A 19674-nucleotide genomic window follows, 5' to 3' on the forward strand; every position below is an offset into this window, starting at 1 on the left:
CTTGGTGTAAATGTCACGTACTTATCTCTTCTCTGCAACAGGGAGTAAAGCTTTAACCAAACTCCATTAAAAAATAATAAGATGACAACTATAGTCAAGTCACCCATTTGCACAGAAAAGTGTAAGCGGAGACTTGACTTACACCTGTCAAATAGAAAAGAGTAATTCATTGATCAGGGAACTGGTATTTTTCACTGCATGTCATCTGCATTTGTTACAGGTGAGAATCAAATGGAAGCGTGGCCCTTTCGCCTCTAATTTTTCTTTCCTTTAATCTCCACTCCCACACCAGTTGCCTCTGAAGGCAACATTACCATGGCAAAAGAGTGCTTGCTTTTTCTTTTTTTAAGTAGGAGTTGACATCTGGATGCTTCAAGCTGCCAGGTGGACCCCATGTAGAACCACAGCTGTTCTTTCTGGTAACTGGAGAAATAAAGAGCAAGAAGGAGCTGGGTATTCGAAGTCAACAAAGGACAATATACTGTTATCATTTCAATCACACAGGGCTAGTGATTTGTATTATAATTGCAATACAATATTTTTAAAAGTTAATGTTATTTGAGGAAAAATAACTAGCATGTCATTTTTCATAGCCCCAAAGATCACCAAGAAGAGCTAAGCTTTGGCACATAAACCAAGAGAGAGGGAGCAAAGATGATTGTCACAGTTTCTGAAGCCATCAGTTTAATAGAGAGGTTAATGAAACAAGAAGTAAAAATAAAATACTTTCTCTAGTTAATCCACCATGATGCCATCCTTCCCATCATCACTTTTTATCATGAGAGATTTTTATCTGCTATTTTTCCACTTAAATATATTTTTAACTTATAGTTTTATAAAATATAATTTTACTACTAAATTATAATTGCTTTATGTTTATACATGTATATATTTAAAAGTTGATGACTATAGATAATTGTATTAGGCTATACAAAAAGTCAAAGTCAAATAAAATATTTTAAAATAACATTTGACTACTTTGTATGGATCAACCATGATATACACCTAGATTTCACTAAAACCTCAATATGTTTATACAGTTAATCTAGGCTAAGATAGCATTACTATAACAACACGAGCAAACAGATGGCTGTTAGCAGATTGTCTTAAGGCAATACTATGTTAATCAATAAGATTACCAGTATAGATTTAGTAGAAGATTTTTGGATTCAGTGTTCATACATTGGTGAGATATTTTACTGAGGACAGCATTTCTTATTTTTTAAAACATATATTCATTATATTAGAATGTACATATATTAGATTTAACTGTTATGCTTTTCATTATAAAATATAAAATGAATATCTAAAATGTGTTGGAAGGTATCACAAATGCAGAATCGAATGTACCACCAGTTACTTTGTTTACTTATAAATATTCAATTGTTTTTGAGAGCCCTCTCTATGCCACAGATTGCTCTAAGATGCTTACATTCTAGTGAAACAAGGCAAAGAATAAACTATAAAAATTTCGGTAAATATTATTAAGAAAACTAAGGAGAGGACAAAAGTGACAAGAATACTGTATTAGATGGAGTGATTGGGAAACCTCTTGGATAAGATCAGACATTTTAAACAAAGATAAGATTGAAGACTGTCCTTGAAGATTGGGATATGTACTTATCTTAGACAAGATATTTCCAAGTTAATTTGAAATAAGAAGTGGAATTCATGTATTGGTAAATTGCTATAAATATTTCCCTATTCAGAAGATATTTATTGAGCACATACTAAGTCCTAAGGACTGTGCTTAGCAGAAGGATTTCAAAGATGAATAAGATACAATCCCTGTCATCAAGAGATTCATGAAGAAACACATAAAAAGGTAATTATAATAAGAAATGCTAATTACCATGATGGAGCTATAATGCATAGGACACTTAGGTGTAATTCCTACATTTTGTATTGATTACACTATTAACAAGGATAGGGCCCCCAACTCTAATTTGTTTTGATGAAAAATTATACTTTCAATTAATGTGGTTACATAATCAGGGGAATTGAGTCCAATTCTGGCTCTCTGGCTCTAATACTGTATTAGACAGGACTTGTTCTCTTGCATTAATAGAAACCCAACTCTAGTTTAAACAAAAGGGGTATTTATTAGCTTTTGCTACTGGCAATTCCAAGGATTTTGCACGAGCTTCAGCTACAGGTGGTTTTAGAGGATGTCATGGGATTCGCTCTCTTTCCATTTCTCTGCTCTGCCTTTCTCAATATTGGCTTTATTCACCAGCAGGCTATGTTTGTGTTGTGACAAAGAAGGCCTTTGGCACCCTAAATATGGGCAACATGTAGCACTCACTATCATAAAAGCAGAAAGATTATTCTCTCCCAGCATCCACATCTGTTGCCTGACCTCTGTTCCTGCAAGAATCACAGTTTCCTCCTAGATCAATCACTGAATCTACCGTGATTATCCATTCTGGTGGTGGGCTTAAGTCAGCAAATAAAACACAGGGCCATCCACATAAATGACATATCTACCAGAATCCTGCACAGGGTAGAGTAGACAGTAGGAAAATAGTTCTACTACCGGAAGAAAGGGAAAGAGTACAGTGTTGGCAAAGCCAAACAAATTTTGCTACAGACAGATTCATTCTGTGACCTTGGTCAAGTCATGTCACTTGACCAAGAGTCTCGGTTTCACCACCCATTACTTGCCAACCTCATAGTGTTAAATTATATAAGGAAGGTTGTGTGCCAAGGTTAAACATATAGAGAAAAATGCCTAATGAATAACTATATCAGCAATGTTACTACTGATAAACAAATATGGTTTGCATCAGATTTCAGGTACTGGGAACTAAAGTATTAAAAAAGATGAAGGGGCCGGGCATGGTGGCTCACGCCTGTAATCCCAGCACCAGGCAGATCACCTGAGGTCGGGAGTTCGAGACCAGCCTGACCAAAATTCGTCAGGTGTGGTCGTGGGCGCCTGTAATCCCAGCTACTCAGGAGGCTGAAGCAGGAGAATCGCTTGAATCTGGGAGGTGGAGGTTACCGTGAGCCGAGATTGTGCCATTGCACTCCAGCCTGGGCAACAAGAGTGAAACTCCGTCTCAAAAAAAAAAAGATAAAGGGTGGACTCTTCCCTTGCAAATAAAATGAAATGACAGAGCCAGCTAGTCTTGATGCCTGTGTAATCTGCTTGAGTGGTTCCCAAACAGGGAGTGGAAATCTGTCTCCTTTGGACACAAGAAACCACTTAGTTGCAAGATGTAGCTCTGAATGGAATTTCAACCTAAAAATATGTAAAAGCTGCCCTCTTATTGCTACTTTTTAAATATACTAAGATAATTAACATTTTGGTGAGTTTAAAAAAATGCAGATTCTCTTAGTAATATTCTTATTCAATTAAGCTGATAATTTAAATGAAGCAGTAAATTTAAATATACACTCCCCTTCTAGAATGATATCAAATTATTTTCATTTTGAATACAATACAAATGTGACATTTTTATGTTTACTGAATTGGCTCTTAGGTAGAATTCTCTTCACTGTTCAAGGCCAGGTGTTGCAGCCCATGGCCTATAGAACAAATTTAAATTTTTTTCCTGTTTTTGAATTTAATTCTCCTCCTGCTTAGTTCCTACTCTAAGAATGATTTTTACATTTTATCTGGCCGTTTTCAGGAAAAGTTGAATGACTCCTTTTTCAAGTTGAGCTTTTTCTTTAGAATTTTATCAACCACCCGCCCTCCCACACTTTTTTTTTGCAGTTCCTGTTCCATTCTTGATGAGCAGCTCAGTGTATGTCCCCTGTGCTGTTCCAGACAGTTGATTCAAAAGAATGCCTCTGAATGGGAACAAGGAATTTTGCCCCGGGTGTACTTTCTGCACATCTTGTTAATTTTACCACTAACATGTTTTTTTCTCCAATACCTTCAGATAGCTTTATGCATGCCTTCTCTCTCCTAGGATCTGATGATTAGCATCTCCATTAGAGTTCCGACTGAATTTTATCCTTTTATTCTCTGCTCCTTATCACTGATCATGTGGACTGGCACTGACAGTGTGGGCTTTTGACTGACCGTGGACTTCCTCAAATCTACATACCAGGCCCCTTTTGCCAGCTTATTACTCAGCAGATCTTCAGAGGATATATACAGATTAGGAGATGTAAAGGGGCAGAGCCACTGTGTTGGTTTGCATTCTTCAATAAGCAGACACAAAAGGATGTATTAGAGGGAAAATTGGGGAAGGTAGGAGAGCTCTCACATCATGATGCAGGCCTGACCCCTGTAAAGTAGAGAGGGAAGGGAGGAAGATTGAGCAGGAAAAGTCAAAGGGATCAGAGTAGTTTTAAGAAACTTTTGGCAAAGCCTATGTGTAGTCCCTGAGCCAAAGTCACATGGCAGAGGAGTTTGAGTCTCTCAAAAATGTAGCTGCCTCAGTATCCCTGCTGCGCTCAATCACTGCCTGGGAGCAGCACATGGGAAGCATGGCCTCAGCCAACTCAGTGCTGGATTCAGAATACAGCAATGGGTCCCTTGGTCAATTATGCTCCTCTCAGTTGCAGTACTGCAAGGCACATTCTCCTGTCTACCACAGCCATATTGAATGATAAGGACAAAACAGGACATACAGCTAAAGGCTGGGAAGGAAAGCAGGCCCTGGTCACAGAGAAAGAAATGAGGAATAAGAGAAGGAAACTGGTAGACAATGTGTCTCCCGTCTGCTACTACCTTGGATTGATTCTCCCAGAAGAACTGACTGCTGAGAAAGAAAGAATGGAGTTGCATTGTCCCTCAACACTTACGGAGTTGGGGTAGCCATGTAAGGCAGCCAGCAAGAGTCTGGCATGGACCAAAGGGGTAAAAGAAGTGTGTTTAACATGTGTAGGAAAAATATACCTTTCCATCCCATAGCTAGAGAACAGGGCTGGTGAGCAGTCCATTCCCTGTGCTTTGAAGTCTAGGCTTGACTTTTGCAATTTTCTTCTCATAGGTGTTTCCATTTCTAACTTGTCTCTAAGCCATCTGTTCAAGATGCTGCTGTTCAAATAATTTTTCCTGACAGCTGCCACAACAACAGGGAGAATGATGAGCATGGCTGAGCTGCAATTCAGGATAGGGGCTCTTTTTCTATAGTTGCCCTCAGTGACATGGCAACAGGCAATTTCCAGATCTGGTGAAGGTAGTCGAAGTATGATGTCTGGTCTATTAAAAAGAATGTCCTTCAATTGATAGCGCTTCCATTTGTTCAGTTTCCTTTAACATGTTAATTAAGGGAGGAAAAGTGGGAGAAATGCTTCTTAAAATGATGATACATGTGAGATTTTGAACTTCTGCATTTTTTATTTTAAGCATCTCTAACAAAGCTTGACACTGACCTGGAGTTTTCAGTATAAAAAGGAATGACTTGATATTCTATCAGCTTTGGCTTTCTTCTCATGTGTGTGTGTATGTGTGTATGTGTGTGTCTTTCTATACTCTCATTCCCAAGAGACATGCAATTTAGCTGTTATGCCCACTGTTTATTTGAAACCAATTTAACAGGTAATAAAGGTGAGAGTATTTACCTTTTCAGTGGACTTTCATCTACTTTGTAAAGATTGAGGAGTGCAGAAACGTATGCAAATAAAGCTATTTAGTCTTTTATAACTCCTTTGAAACTACAAAGGTAAAACTAACTTTCTGTTCTTTACATTTCCTAAGTTCTTTCTACTAATGTAGGCCTATGTAAGAGATACACATTTTCTCGGTTTTCCAATAAGCTGTTGTTGGGCTTTCCTTTTGTGTATGTGTGTAGAGAAGTAGCAACTTGCACTTGTTAAGAAATGAATGAGAAAAGAGAACATAATCTCTACCAATTTGAGGTTTTGAACACTCTTTTCCAACCAATTTCTTACCCATTTGGAGGACTATATCTCTCAGTCAGATATATGATATACAGATGAACTCACTTCCATTTTTTTTCTTTCTCTCTGATTTTTGACATGTGGAGATGGTTTTAGAGTCATTTTCAACTAATTTTTGATTGACGAATATGTCTTTTGTTTAATGACATTCCTATCCATTAGAATCATAGGTAAGTTTCTAGCTTTGTACTTCTTTCAAAAGTGAGAGACACTGAGTCTTGAAAAATAACTAACAAAATATAATTTCTCAGGGGGAAAAGCTTTTTAAAAATGTTTGCTTTTCCATTTTAATTCTATCTCTATTATCAGCGAATGTGGAAAACATTTTATTGTCTAATTTAATGTTAAAGTTATTTTTATAACCAATACATGTGGTGTTTCACGTTATTATTTGTGTAAGAGTTTAGTTAGAATATAGAAAATTCTAATTTTTAAGTAGTGAGAACTTTTATGAAAGAAGAAAATTCCAAAGCTCACACAAGGAAAAATTTCATATAGCTTTTTTTATATTGTACATGGCTTCTGTAATCTGAAAAGTTACAAATCTATAATAAAATAATATTTTAAAATATCATATTAATTTTATTGTTTTTGTTAATTTCTTTTGTTTTCATGTTTTAAGATAGAGCAGTTTTAGGTGCATAGCAAAATTGAGGGGAGTGGAAAGAGACTTCCCATATATCCTTGTCTCCACACAAGCATATCCTCCCCCATTATCAACATTCCTTACCAGTGTAATACATCTATTACAATTGATGAAGCTTGCATTAGCCATTTTCACACTGCTGTAAAGAACTACCTGAGACTGGGTAATTTATAAAGAAAAGAGGTTTAATTGACTCACAGTTCCACATGGCCAAAGAGGCCTCAGAAAACTTACAATCATGGCAGAAGACGAAGGGGAAGCAAGCACCCTCTTCACAAGGTGGCAGGAGTGAGAGAGTGAGGCGGGAAGTGCCGCACTTTTAAACTATCAGATCTCATGAAAATTCACTCACTATCATGAGAACAGCATGGGGGAAATCCACCTCCATGATCCAAACACTTCCCACCAGGTTCTGCCCCTGCCATGTGGGGATTACAATTTGACAGGAGATTTGAGTGGGGACACAGAGCCAAACCATATCAAATCTTCATTGATACATGACACCCAGAGACTATAGTTTACATTAGGGCCCACTCTTGATTTTGAAAATTTTATCTATGGGTTTGGTCAAAAGTATAATTAAATGTATCCATCATTATATTATCATACAGAGTATTTTCACTGCCCTATAAATCCACTATCCTCTGCCTATTCATCCTGTCTTCCCACTAACCCCTGGCAACCAATGATGTTTTTGCTGTCTCCATAGTTTTGCCTTTTCCAGAATATCATGTAATTCAAATCATATAGTATGTAGCTTTTTCAGATTAGCTTTTTTCACTTAGCAGTATGGGTTTAGGTTTCCTCCATGTCTTTTCGTTGCTTGTTGGCTCATTTCTTTTTAGCACTGAGTCTGGAGGTATCACAGTTTATCCATTTACCTATTGAAGGACATGTTTGTTGTGCTTGTTTATACTTTATCATAAACATTGTTATCTTTATCACAAGCATTAACAAATCTCTATTAAATCCTTATAATATGCATTGGCCCATAATATTCATGTAATGAACATACTTTTAATTTAAACAGGAATCCAGATTGTTGATTTTGGAAGTTTATTTTTAATTAAAACATTCATGTTAATTGTATTCCTTTTTTGTCTCTTTTAGTTTTAATTTTATCATGGTGTTTAGCACTAGGAATGTTAGTAAAAAATTTAAGTTAGAAGAAGCTACAGAAGCCCAGAAACTTAAACATGAAAGAGGCTGATGGCAGACAGAGATACATACTGCTGGGCTTGCCATATGCTCTACAGGTTTCTTTTACTCCCTGTCAACAAATACTATTTTTGTTCTTCACTTTTTATCAACAGAATTGAGGGACATAATAAAGAGTTATAATTATGTTCGTTATTTAAGATATTTCTTTTCTTTCTGGTTTCTGCAACAGAGTGAAAATACCAGTTTAAAAATATTGTGATTCTATTTTCAGAAAAAAAAAACACCTCTGTTTGCATCTGTAGACAAAGATCTGTTCAGAATGGTTGGCTTTGTGAGGTAAGTTTATGAAGAACTTTCACTTACTATTTTAGTCATTAAAATTTTTTTAACAGGATTATATATGATTTTTGTAATCTAAAAGTGTTACAAATTAGTAATAAAGATAATAATTTTTGTTATTTTTATTAATGTTTTTTATTTCTTATTAACATTTTAACAATATGATCATTATAATTATCTTTATAACCAACACTAACAAACATTAAATATTTGTAACAGTGCCTTTTGGATTAACTGTTGTCCTGGCTTTTAAGAAGTTTTATGGGTGGTAGAAAAATTGAAATTCATTTTGAAAACATAAAAACTTAGCTATTTTAGCTTTAAGCTTGACTATTTTGATAACAAATGGCTCTGAGTTCTGTTACAAATGACCTAAAAGTTAAATATATCAGAAATCACTTATAAGTAGGGTGGCTATGTAGTTTACCCTCAAATCAGGACAGTTTTGGAGTGAAGGGGATTGCTATTAATAGTTACTCTAGGCAACAGGCCTCAAATGGGACTGTCCCAGGCAAACCAGAACATATAGAAATTATGACTCTATTAATCAACTGAAAATAAAATACTAATAAAACAGATATAGAAAAGCTTATTTAAAATCTATTTTGATGAATATAGTTTAATATAGAATTGTTCTGATGTTAAGTTCAGAACACTTTTTTAGGTTTCATGTTAATATTTCAAGGGATACATGAGAAATGTGTTATTAGTCTAGTATATTGTGGGTGGCCATTTCAATGATCTCCAGGGGGTGCATAATTGAGCTACCCAAAGGGCCTCATTATGAGGCTGTTTTCTATTACCTCACCAAGGACCTGATACCACTGAAAACAATGCTCCAATGTGATAGTGGGTATAATTTTTCATCTAGGAATGCACTTTTAGCTTACCTCCTACAGTGATCTACTATTTGTCTATCAGAACTTTGTTGATATAGTTCATCTGTGTAGAAATTATTTGCAATCCATTTAAACAGAGGGAGAGAGACAAAGGGAGGGATTGGGGCAAGGGTGCTGTTTAAGTCTGAGATAACTCTTAAAGAAAAAGATAATCTATTGTATTTGAAAAGGCATTTTTTACTCATTATTCTGCTAAGTAATCCTACTTATCATGTATTTAAAAAGACAAGGCAATTTCCCACTGAATGTGGTAAAAATAAAAAGGCTATAAAAAGAAAACAATTTAGTGTCAAGACATCCTACTGTGTTTGCTTATGTGTTTGTAAATCTGTCTATAATATCATTGCTTAAAAAATAGCCTACTGTACCAGGTACATGGAAACCTTTCAAAGCTCCATAGACATATTTTAAAGATAGTAATTGTCATTTTCTATCTGGCCAACTGCTGGGATCCGATTGGTCATTACCTTATTTCAGGGGAAGCTTCAAAAGCTAATCAGAGGTGTTATCAGCTATGACTTCTACCGCTGCTGCACAGGAAACTTAGCAATAAAGCAAAAGCTGTAAATTCAGGATTTATTTTTTGTAAGGATGTGGCTTATGCTTGGAAGATTAATGAGGAATTCCTGGTCTACTGTTTATTAAAGATCTCACCATTCTATAGCATTTTAATTGTATAGTCACTCTTTGACATCCTAACTAATGGTTCTTGCTAAATTAATAAAAGCAACATATTAAGTCTAAATCCCAGATAAGGTAAAGATTGCCGTTTTAATATCCCATCTATATCCTTTATCTTTCTACAGGGGCTTTCAGGCCAGTAGTTTTAATAACATGCATGAATGAAGATGCTCTTTTTTAACTCAAATGGTGGCAAAGAGTTTTTCCTTTATATTAGCAGGCAATCAATTCCAATAGCTTTTTAATGCTTTCTTAAAGAATCAATTTTAAAGCAGAAGCTCTTCAGGGGACCCTCTTAAACTTCTTCACAGCCGGTCTCCTAATTTTCTATTACAATGCAATCTAAAGCAGCTACAAAAATAATGCAGATAATGTTTGCTGGGTAATGATTTCCAATTTCCCCATTCCATGTACCCTGTTATTAGAAGGATCATCTTGGTTGTGTAAATTAATTTTCAATTCACTTCAGGGGAACATTACAATGATTTATTCAGCCTTGGTGTTGAAGAAAGTGTTGGGAGGATTTCAGCAATCTGAGAAACAAAATCAATTTGTTCTGATTATCACCATGTTAAAGGGGAAAAAAGGATAAAAACAAAAGAATCACTCAAATGTGTGTCTTGACTGTAGCATACACACTAGCACCATGATTTGATGCTAGGATGTCACTCTGTAATACAAAAACTGAACAAAAGAATGGTGTTTGGTAATACATCGCTACTTGGAAATTAAGTAATCGAATAGCCAGGTTATTCCTCCATATGATATTTTAGTTATATGCCTTTGAGGCAGGATAACTGTTCGTATTTCCTTGGAAGAGAAAAGTAACACAGCAGCTTATAATCAAGAAGGAATAGTTTCCCTAAGCATAGTATAACTAGCTAGTTAGTTTGATTTTTTTAAAAGTTAAAACAGGGGCCATGATATCAATATATCATAACCATGAGACATACAACATTTTTTATCATAATTTATCTCACAAAAGTTTTTCCAGGGCTGTGTATGAACTATGGTTTTTATAATATTGTAGAAAGGTCATTCTTTGTAAAGGTTTTACTGACCTTTTACTTTAGTCAGTTTGTAAGTGTGCCAGTCACTTGGGTCAATTTCAATCGTGCCCAGGTGTGAATGCAAATTGCCAATATCATTCACTTCTCCAGATCACTTACCATTCAGCAAATACTTATGAGCCTCTACACTGTGCTGTGCACTGTAGTGAGAGCTACAGAGATGATGAAAAACAAAAGCAAATGCTGTAAAATGATTGCTTACCTGTTGTAAATGTATCAAAACCTCTGAAGACGAGGTTCATGATACTATAAAGGCATATAATATAATTATCTAACCATGTCAGGAAGACCAGAGTAGGTTTCCCAAGGAGGTGATGGTTGAGTTCCTGAAATCTGAAGGATAGGGGTGAATTAATCAGGAAATGAGAGGAAGGGAACACTGTTCTAGGACAAGAAACAGGATCAGATTTGCATTTTGAAAAGAATACCTTGACTGCATTGTGGAGAACAAACTGCGGAAAGGCAGAATGCATGCACAGATTCAGACAGGAGGCTGTGGCCATAGCCTAGAAAAAGATGAAACATGCTAGGGTAGATTTATTATTTTTCCAAGCCTCTGCCACCCATCTGTGGGTGGCTAGGCTGGACATTCCTTTCTTGATTACTCTGTAGCTCAAGATGAAGGCATGGATCTGTGTGCACTGAAGTGAAGTGGGCTTTTTGACTCCAGAAACTAGGCACCTGCAGAATAAAACAAAATATGCAGACTAGTGGGAGTGAATTTGGAATACTGACTGAGACGTGCAGGGTCACGGAAAGACCCAGAAGTGTGAGATTGACTATTATTTTGAAGTAGTATGCAGAAATTTTCTTGTTTTAATAGATTATTTTTATTGATAGCACAAGCTTTACTTCGGCCTGGCTTTGCTTCTGAGTTGGAGCCCACCTTCTCTTTCCAGTGAGAAGTGCTCTAGTGAAGTGATTAAGTACTCACAGTCTATACTCAGCTTAGCACAAAGCCAGGTTCTCTCCCTGCTCTATGACTTCCTTCCACCAGCTCTATGACTTGGGAAGTTACCTAATCCTCGAGTTCAGTTTCTTCATGTGTAGGGTAAGGACGCTCAGTGCCCGCTTCCTAGTGAGCTTGTGAGGAGTAGTTGAGATAATGCTTGAGAAGCTCAAGCAGAACCCCTGCTTTGTACTATGCAGGCTGCACACCTGTGCTTGGATTAATCCACAGTTGTTTGCATCGAGATGAGCAAGCAGGAAAAAGATGTTTTGGCATCAGCTGGTGGTGGCATTGGGTCAGAGTTACAGTCACAACAGTGTCAATCTAGGTCAGGAAGGTTTAAATGACACAGGCTTGGCACTTATATGCCACTCAGGATAGATGAGTCCCAGGGATCCAGGAAGCAGGGCAGTGGCAAAGCAAGTTTACTGAAGATCGTCAGTAAGGAACACAGAATTACTGTAGGAGAGCTGACTGGCACTAGAATCCTCAGGTCAAGATGGAGCTCTGTGGCAGTGGTCACTGAGACTGCAGCTGGTGGTTTCTGTTTACTTTGTAATGGCTCTCTATAAGACCTGCTCTCAGGATACTCACTTTTGTCTCGTCAGACCTCTCAAGCTCTCAGGCCTCCACAGTACTGCCTGTAGAGCTCTAAGAAAAGGTGGTACCTAAGCACTGGATACTGGAGTCTGGACTCATGTGCACTGTTCTCCTGTCTAAGAGCTGGGCAAAGGCCTGGGCCGTAAGGATCCTGTACAAGTCCCACCTCCTCCATTATCAAATGTAATCTGACCTGTTGATATGATTTTCAGCGTTAGATTATCCTCAGAGTAAATACATCAAAGAAGCCTAAACGCAGGAACATTATTTATTATGGAAATGTAGAAGGTTGTCTTCTACATTTGTAGAATGAGTCCAATGTAGAAGGAAGTCTTTTTCATAATCATAAAGAGGAGTTAGGAGTAGGTTAGGTTATATATGAAATTGAAACATGACCTAAATGGAAATTATATGAAAACCCCAGATTCCCTCTTTAGCATGATCACCATTATTGTTCTCTCAACAATGCCAACTTACATGAATAATTAATCTGTGTGTATGTATGTGACTATTAAGTTGGGCTGTTGAAAAAAAAAGGAAGTTTTTTTCTAGTGTTTTAAATTTTATTAATGTTAAATGGTGTTGTGGCAGATACGAGTATTGCATATTTGAAAACTGTATTTGTAAGAGTTAGTGTATAGATTTTTTAAATGCCAGCAATTTTTCCCCATGCATTCCTAGATCCATTATGAAGGTTGTCAAAGGAGAAGAATCCATCATGATTTCAAAGGAAATCAAAGAACATGACAAGCTACAGTATTAATCTCCTGATTCTTTTTGAGTTTTAAGAATAAACTGACAGCTTGAGTTAGAAGTAATCATATTTAAATATTCTGTGTGTGTGGGAGACATTACCTCCACTTACCTAATCTTTCAAATCTATATAAAAGTGAAACCTGTCTGCTGGTTTACTAATGTGTCATGTGAAAAAGGATATGTGGATTGTCACCAAATTTGTATTGTAAGTTTGGAATGGCCTGATGTAAAAATGTAAGCTGTGTAGGTATCATCTACAAGATTCACTAGGAGGGCTCTGAAGACTATGTCAAAGAAAGAGGTAGCCACCCTCCAGAGAAGCTGAAAATGAGGATGGATATTTTTCACTAAATATGAAAGATATGTGGGATACCATCTGACTTTAAAAAATCAACTGTGACATACTTGAAATTCTTTTTGAGGGAACCTGAGGACACTTAAGAGAGAGAGAGAAATTCAACTTTCAGAGGTTGAAAACAGGGTTCAAATCAAGGCCCAATTGCTGCTGCTCAGTGGAAAAGAACCATCCTATGTTTGAGGTCACGCTGGGTGGTGAAACCAATCAGTGCTTTTAACAAATGATGGGAGAGATGCTCAGAATTCCAGGCACTGGTTTGACTTGAGCTGCTTCTTACATGAGTAACTCTGTTTCTTACTCAAGTGAATTGTAGAATTATAGCAAGGAGTTTTAAAATATGTATCTGTTTTTAAAATGGAATCAGGGTTAGTGAATTTCCTAATGTAAGTTAGGAAGTCCAGCTAAGAGGTAACATAAAAACCTCTTAGAAATGAAGCATCCAATAATCAGAAATAATAATTGAAATTAGTTTTTAAGAAGATCAGTCTAATGAAGAACCAAATATTAAAGGAGGGCATGAAAGAGATGAAAATAAGCAATATAGAGTATAAGGGCAAGTCCTCCTCCTTCTTTTCTCTTTTCTAAAATTCCTCCTTATCTTTATATTCCACTACCTTACAAACTGAATATATAAATTGGACAATGGAGGATAAAATTCAGAATAAAGATCTAACAAGTGTAGTTAATGAATAGATTTATCTGAAGCTGGTATGTTAGTCATTTTAAACAAGTGCTAAATCTACTTCTGAATTTCAACACAAACAAAATAAAGTATGATGAGGTTTTGATTCATATTGTGTCAAAAGAAAAAACTTTTTCCTGGCACTGCATACTAAAATATTTTATTATGCGATGTCCAATAACCACAAATACAACAATAATTAAAACATTACACAACATCTATTATGTTAATACTTCCATTAATTCTGTTTATAATTCAGTTAATAATTCTGAGTTCTCTTTCTAAACCACACTTAGAATGAACTTCATACTTAATACCATTACTAACATTCCTGAACACATCTTTTGCTGTTGTGTCTCACTTATTGCCTTAAGCATGCTAAATTTGCACTTTTTGTTATTTACATACATATATATATTTATATATAACCTTCACAACAATCCTATGAGGTAAGTAATATTACTAACCCACTTTAAAGATGAAAGTATTGAAGCATAGAGGAATTAAGCAATTTGCCCAAAGCCACCCAATTAAAAAGGGGGAACCAGGATTTGAGTACAAACCATCTCACTTTAGTCAGTGTTCTTAACTATTATGCTACACTGCCTATGTATACATCTAAAATGTATAGCGTATGTATATAAATGTGTGTATCTGTATATGTCTCTCTATATAGATATACACATGAAATATCTAATAAACCAATAATCTTGGATCATCTGTTGTCAACTTAGCATCCCACAACCCCTTTCCAAGATTATTTCTGCACTGTAGAGAAGAAGCCAGGTATCATATTTCCCAGAATCCTCTTTTCCGTGTTGCTTCAGTTTACAGCTGGCCGATGAGAGGTGCTGCATGATATTGGAAGATGGGACAGAAGGAACCAGTATTCTGCAGAGGCAGTTGCATGAGCAGATATGAAATGTCCTGGAGGCTCCCCCAGTAAGCTGAGAAGCACCTGCTTTCCCACTATAGACTGAGACCACTGATGGAAGCTTCCCAGAGATTTGAGAATTGCAGAAGCTTCTGTGAGCTATGAAGAACAACGTGACTTTGACCTTCAGACTGAGATATAGCTGGAGGCTGCTTTGACCTTCTTTCCCACAGCTCTTTTGACCTTTCTAAAGCCCCAAACCCTATCTTAAAAATGACAAATATGGAATGCAAAGAGCAGCTTTTCTTTTTCTGATCATGGCCTTAATGTAATACAATAGTGAAACCGTCTAGCATAGTGATTAAGAACATTGGCTGTAGAATTAGACATATTTAGTTTAGCATTTTGATTCTACCCCAAACTGGCAAAGTTACTGAATGTATCTAAATTTTAATTTGCTCATTTGTAAAATATGGCTAATAATAGTACTATTTTTTAGCTCATTTATAAAGTATGGATAATAATAGTGCCTATTTTAGGGAGTTCTGAATATTAAAAGAAGTAAACCATGTAAAGCACTTAGCACAGTGCTGGATACTAACAATCGTTATTGTGATCTAACTATAATTTTGCTTAAAAACATTTGTTCAAGTTTTCTTATATCATCTCCTCTATAGATATGAGAATTTAACATGAAATTTTAACTCTACAAGTTAAATGGGAGCTAAAATAATATTGTGCAGCCTGTTCTTTTTGAAGCATTTTTAATGAATAAATTAATTTTCCTAAAATAAAAAGGTACTGTAGGCTCATTGTAAAAAGTTAAGAATACAGAAATGTATAAAGTCTAAAATCAGTGAGTCTCCACCACTGCATAGTGACTATTTACAGTTCTGTGTCTATTTTTCTATACCTTCTTATATGCATATGTATACTTATATACACTTAAAAACAAGATGAAATTATACTTTCTTTTTTCACATTTTTAACTTAGCAATTAATCTTTACAGATTCATATATAGAAAAAACTACTTTAGTCTTTTTAATGGCTACATGGTATTCCTTTGTATTACTATGCCAGACTTAGCCTTCTCTCAATGAGTATTAAGGTTATTTCCAATTTATCTGCACTGTAAAAAGTTTCAAGCCTGGCATAGTGGATCATGCCTGTAACCCCAATACTTTGGGAGTCTGAGGTGGGAGGCTCTCTTGAGCCCAGGAGTTTGAGACCAGCTTGGGCAACAAAATGAGACTTCATCTCTAGGAAAAAAAAAATTAGCCAAGTGTGGTGCTGTGCTCTTATAGTCACAGCTACTTTGGAGGCTGAGGTAGGAGGATTGCTTGAGTCCAGGAGGTGGAGGCTGCAGTGAGCCATGATCATGTCACTGCACTCCAGCATGGGCAACAGAGCAAGACACTATCTCTCTTAAGAAAAGAAAGTTTCAGTCAACGTCCATGCAACTTTGTAAAAAATGCAATAATTTCCTTAGAATAAATACTTGCCCCTGCAGTTTCTAGGTCATATAACATGTGCATTCTCAATTTTAGTTCATATTGTCAGGTGTCCAACAGAAAATTGGAAATATGTTTTTACTTCCAGCAAGAGAACATAAAAGTGTTCATTTCTGTAAGCTCTTGATAAGCTTTGGGGTAGCTAGTGATAGAGGTATTATGTTTCCAGTAGCCAGGGTCACAGATAATTAAAATGTCTCTTATCCCATTTGAATCAAATGTTCATTGTGGTAAGTGAGTCTTTGTTAAATTCTGAAAGGCAGTCAGTTCTGAGGAAAATTCTCTGATGAGTGCCCTGTGGGCCACGATTTTGTGTTCTTGAATCAAGGAAAACCATATGCTTTAGATATGAGCTGCAGAGACCACAGATCTGACATTCCATTGTGAACATGTAGGAGCCTGATTTAAGTTTCTGCTCAGTTTCAGGGTTTTCCAATCAAATGGAGGTGAGCTGTAGAGATGCTGAGAATATAAATTTCTTTTAAAAAATTGTTAGTTTTGTAAGTACATGGCCACTTATTTAGTTGAGATGTTTAGGTTCTATGCCACATATTAAGAAGAGGCGATTTTGGCCTGATAATCTACCTCTGTCTTAGAAACAACTCTATCAATCCGATTACCTTAATTAAAATGTGAGATTTTGAATAAGAGTAAAATCTTATTACTTAACTAAATAGGTTAAAAGGTTTTCTAAATAGTGGAATGAGTAGAGCTCTTGGGTAGAGTCAAGTCATTTTAATTTAAGCAGTTGTAAAACTACGTGTTTATGGAGTGATGGCAATGAGAGAAAACAGGCTCAGTTGCTTTCTAAGGCCATTTCATAAGAGCAAATGGGAACACTGACCCAGAGAAACGTGATTGTTTCCTTCTTGCTATGACCGAAGAGAAAGATGCCACTTCATCAAGAGCTGCACCTATCAACTTAATATAAATTTAAAATATAACAAGGGACAGAGCTGCTTTAGGCCATTTGAAATATAAAATTAATTTGTCAAAAAAGCAATTCTTTCCCCTCTAATTTTGGCAGTAATATTATGTGCAGCCTAGTTTGTGATCCCTACTTTATAAGTTCTTTGTCTAGGAAATCAGAAGTAGATAAAAATGAAGATTTTCTTATTGATTCTTATTGGTTTAATACAGTAAGACTTGAAACTTTTTATCTATATACTCCTTTGATTGATTCTCTATACAACTAATTAGAACAAAAAAAGAATCTAACAAAAGAGCTCTGGGATTGGAAAGGATTTTGGGCAAGATATTCCTAGTAGACTGATATTAATTTGACTTTCCTGATTCTCTACTAAAATTAGTTTGAAGATGGTAGGTGTCAGGAGAGGACTCTTGGAATAGGTTTTACAAGAAGAATCTTGTCAATTTTAACTTAGAACATTTTACAAAATGTTCATGTAAAAACTTAACATACTAACAATACATATTTAAAGGGACTATGATTTGTAGAAAAGAAAAAAACAATGAAACTTATTTGCATAGACTCCTAAATAAGAGCCATTTAAATAAAAGTTGCAAACCCCCTAATGCATGGGTGGACATGGGCCCGCATCCAGTGATTCTCCTATGCTGGAGCATAGCATAAGAACTGACTTTTTGTTTCAATACAAAACAACTCTCAATGGCCACCATAGCTCCAAAACTTACCTGTTGAAATGGTATCACAGCTCAACTCCTCTCTCTCCCTAGTGTACTTTGCTCCTCACTCACAGGTATTGTCCTTGGGAAAGAATTTCTCAGTAACATACTGCACACAAAGTTCAAGTCTCACATTCTGTCTCTTGGGAACATGACTTACCATACTCCATGCCTAAAACCTTGGTAGGCGTGGTTGGGAGGCCAGGCTCTGATGAGCCCATGTTTCTTTTCATGTAATCTCAAGATATTTCCATGAGGTTTTTCAGCAGGCTGGTCAAACTTCTTTCATTGTGATTCAGGGCTTTGCGAGGCCAAGGCAGAAACAGCCAGTCCTCTTAAAGGCTGGCCCCCAAAATGACATAAGCATCACCTTCTCCATACTCTATTGGTCAAAGGAGTAGTCCAGCTTAGGTGGTAAAATGAGAGGAAGGAGATGGGAAAAGTATGGAAGAATTTTTGTCCATCTCTAACCTACCACACAGACTAATCGACAGGGTGAAATATTTTTTTCATACCTCTTTAGGAGAGTGCAGAGTTAACACTCTCTGAATGTGTTAATCAGCCTGATGCCTTTTTATATTTTCTATAGAAAGAAATTAAGAAGTCCCCATGGGCCATGGTTGGGCAGAAGATTTGATGGGGATGATAATGTGTGGAAGAAGGATGGATACATTATTCCTTTTCTGTATAAACTTTTAAAGAAGTAGTCACCATAGGTGTACAATTTGAAATTATATATGATATAACATAACAAAGCAGAAGCTGAGTTGGTTAGAAATTAAGAACATGAGATCTGAAATCAGATAGATTTGGTTTTGTGCTCCAGCCTCACTACTGCATGAATATGAGACTGCTGATAAATGAGTCTTGAGTCCTCATTTCTCCCATCTGCACAATAGGCATAATGATGCCCACCTCGTGGGTTTTTTTTTTTTTTTTTTTGACGGAGTCTCGCTTTGTCGCCCAGGCTGGAGTGCAGTAGGGCGATCTCAGCTCACTGCAAGCTCCGCCTCCTGGGTTCACGCCATTCTCCTGCCTCAGCCTCCCGAGTAGCTGGGACTACAGGCGCCCACCACCACGCCTGGCTAATTTTTTGTATTTTTAGTAGAGAGGGGGTTTCACCGTGTTAGCCAGGATGGTCTCGATCTCCTTCCTGATCTCATGATCCACCCGCCTCGACCTCCCAAACTGCTGGGATTACAGGCATGAGCTACCGCTCCCGGCCCACCTCGTGGGTTTTGAAGGTCAAGTAAGATGAAATATGATAATATCTAAAAGTACTCGTTTTAGGTCTGATGCATAAAAAATACTCAAGAAATAATGATAAAAATTGTAAAAAAGAAAGTAACAGGAGCCATGATATTGATACGAAGCAAGACAAAACAAAAACTTTAAAACAATATGAGGGAAGAAGCAGTAATGTTAAAACTATGAGTAGGATTGAAGGCATTCATCACAGACACCCAATAAATGCTGCAGAATCTGAACATCGTGAAGATAGTAAATAGAAAACAAGCTGAAGTTTAAGGCTACTGGTAAAGGTTAGACTACTGTGTGAATAATTAGAGGGCATCTTTCTTTCTCAGTGCAGTCAAAATCAGGCAGCTTGTTTTCTAGTAATCATGTTTTCAACATTAT

General features: G+C 36.4%; 1 long non-coding RNA gene across 3 annotated transcripts in view; it reads left to right on the top strand.

Annotated features, from left to right (window-relative positions):
- The window catches only part of LOC107986638 (uncharacterized), a 131875-nt gene that overhangs the window by 98702 nt on the left and 13499 nt on the right, over positions 1 to 19674 (top strand). For 2 of the 3 annotated variants that reach the window (XR_002956366.2, XR_001744315.2), the window contains one exon: positions 7941 to 8005. This is a non-coding gene — a long non-coding RNA (uncharacterized LOC107986638). Of the gene's footprint in view, positions 1 to 7940; positions 8006 to 14830; positions 15675 to 19674 lie in introns of those variants that run through there. The other variant, XR_007059717.1, reaches the window with a different exon arrangement.

This window comes from Homo sapiens, chromosome 6 (assembly GCF_000001405.40).
Source record: "Homo sapiens chromosome 6, GRCh38.p14 Primary Assembly".
Classification (NCBI taxonomy): Eukaryota; Metazoa; Chordata; class Mammalia; order Primates; family Hominidae; genus Homo; species Homo sapiens.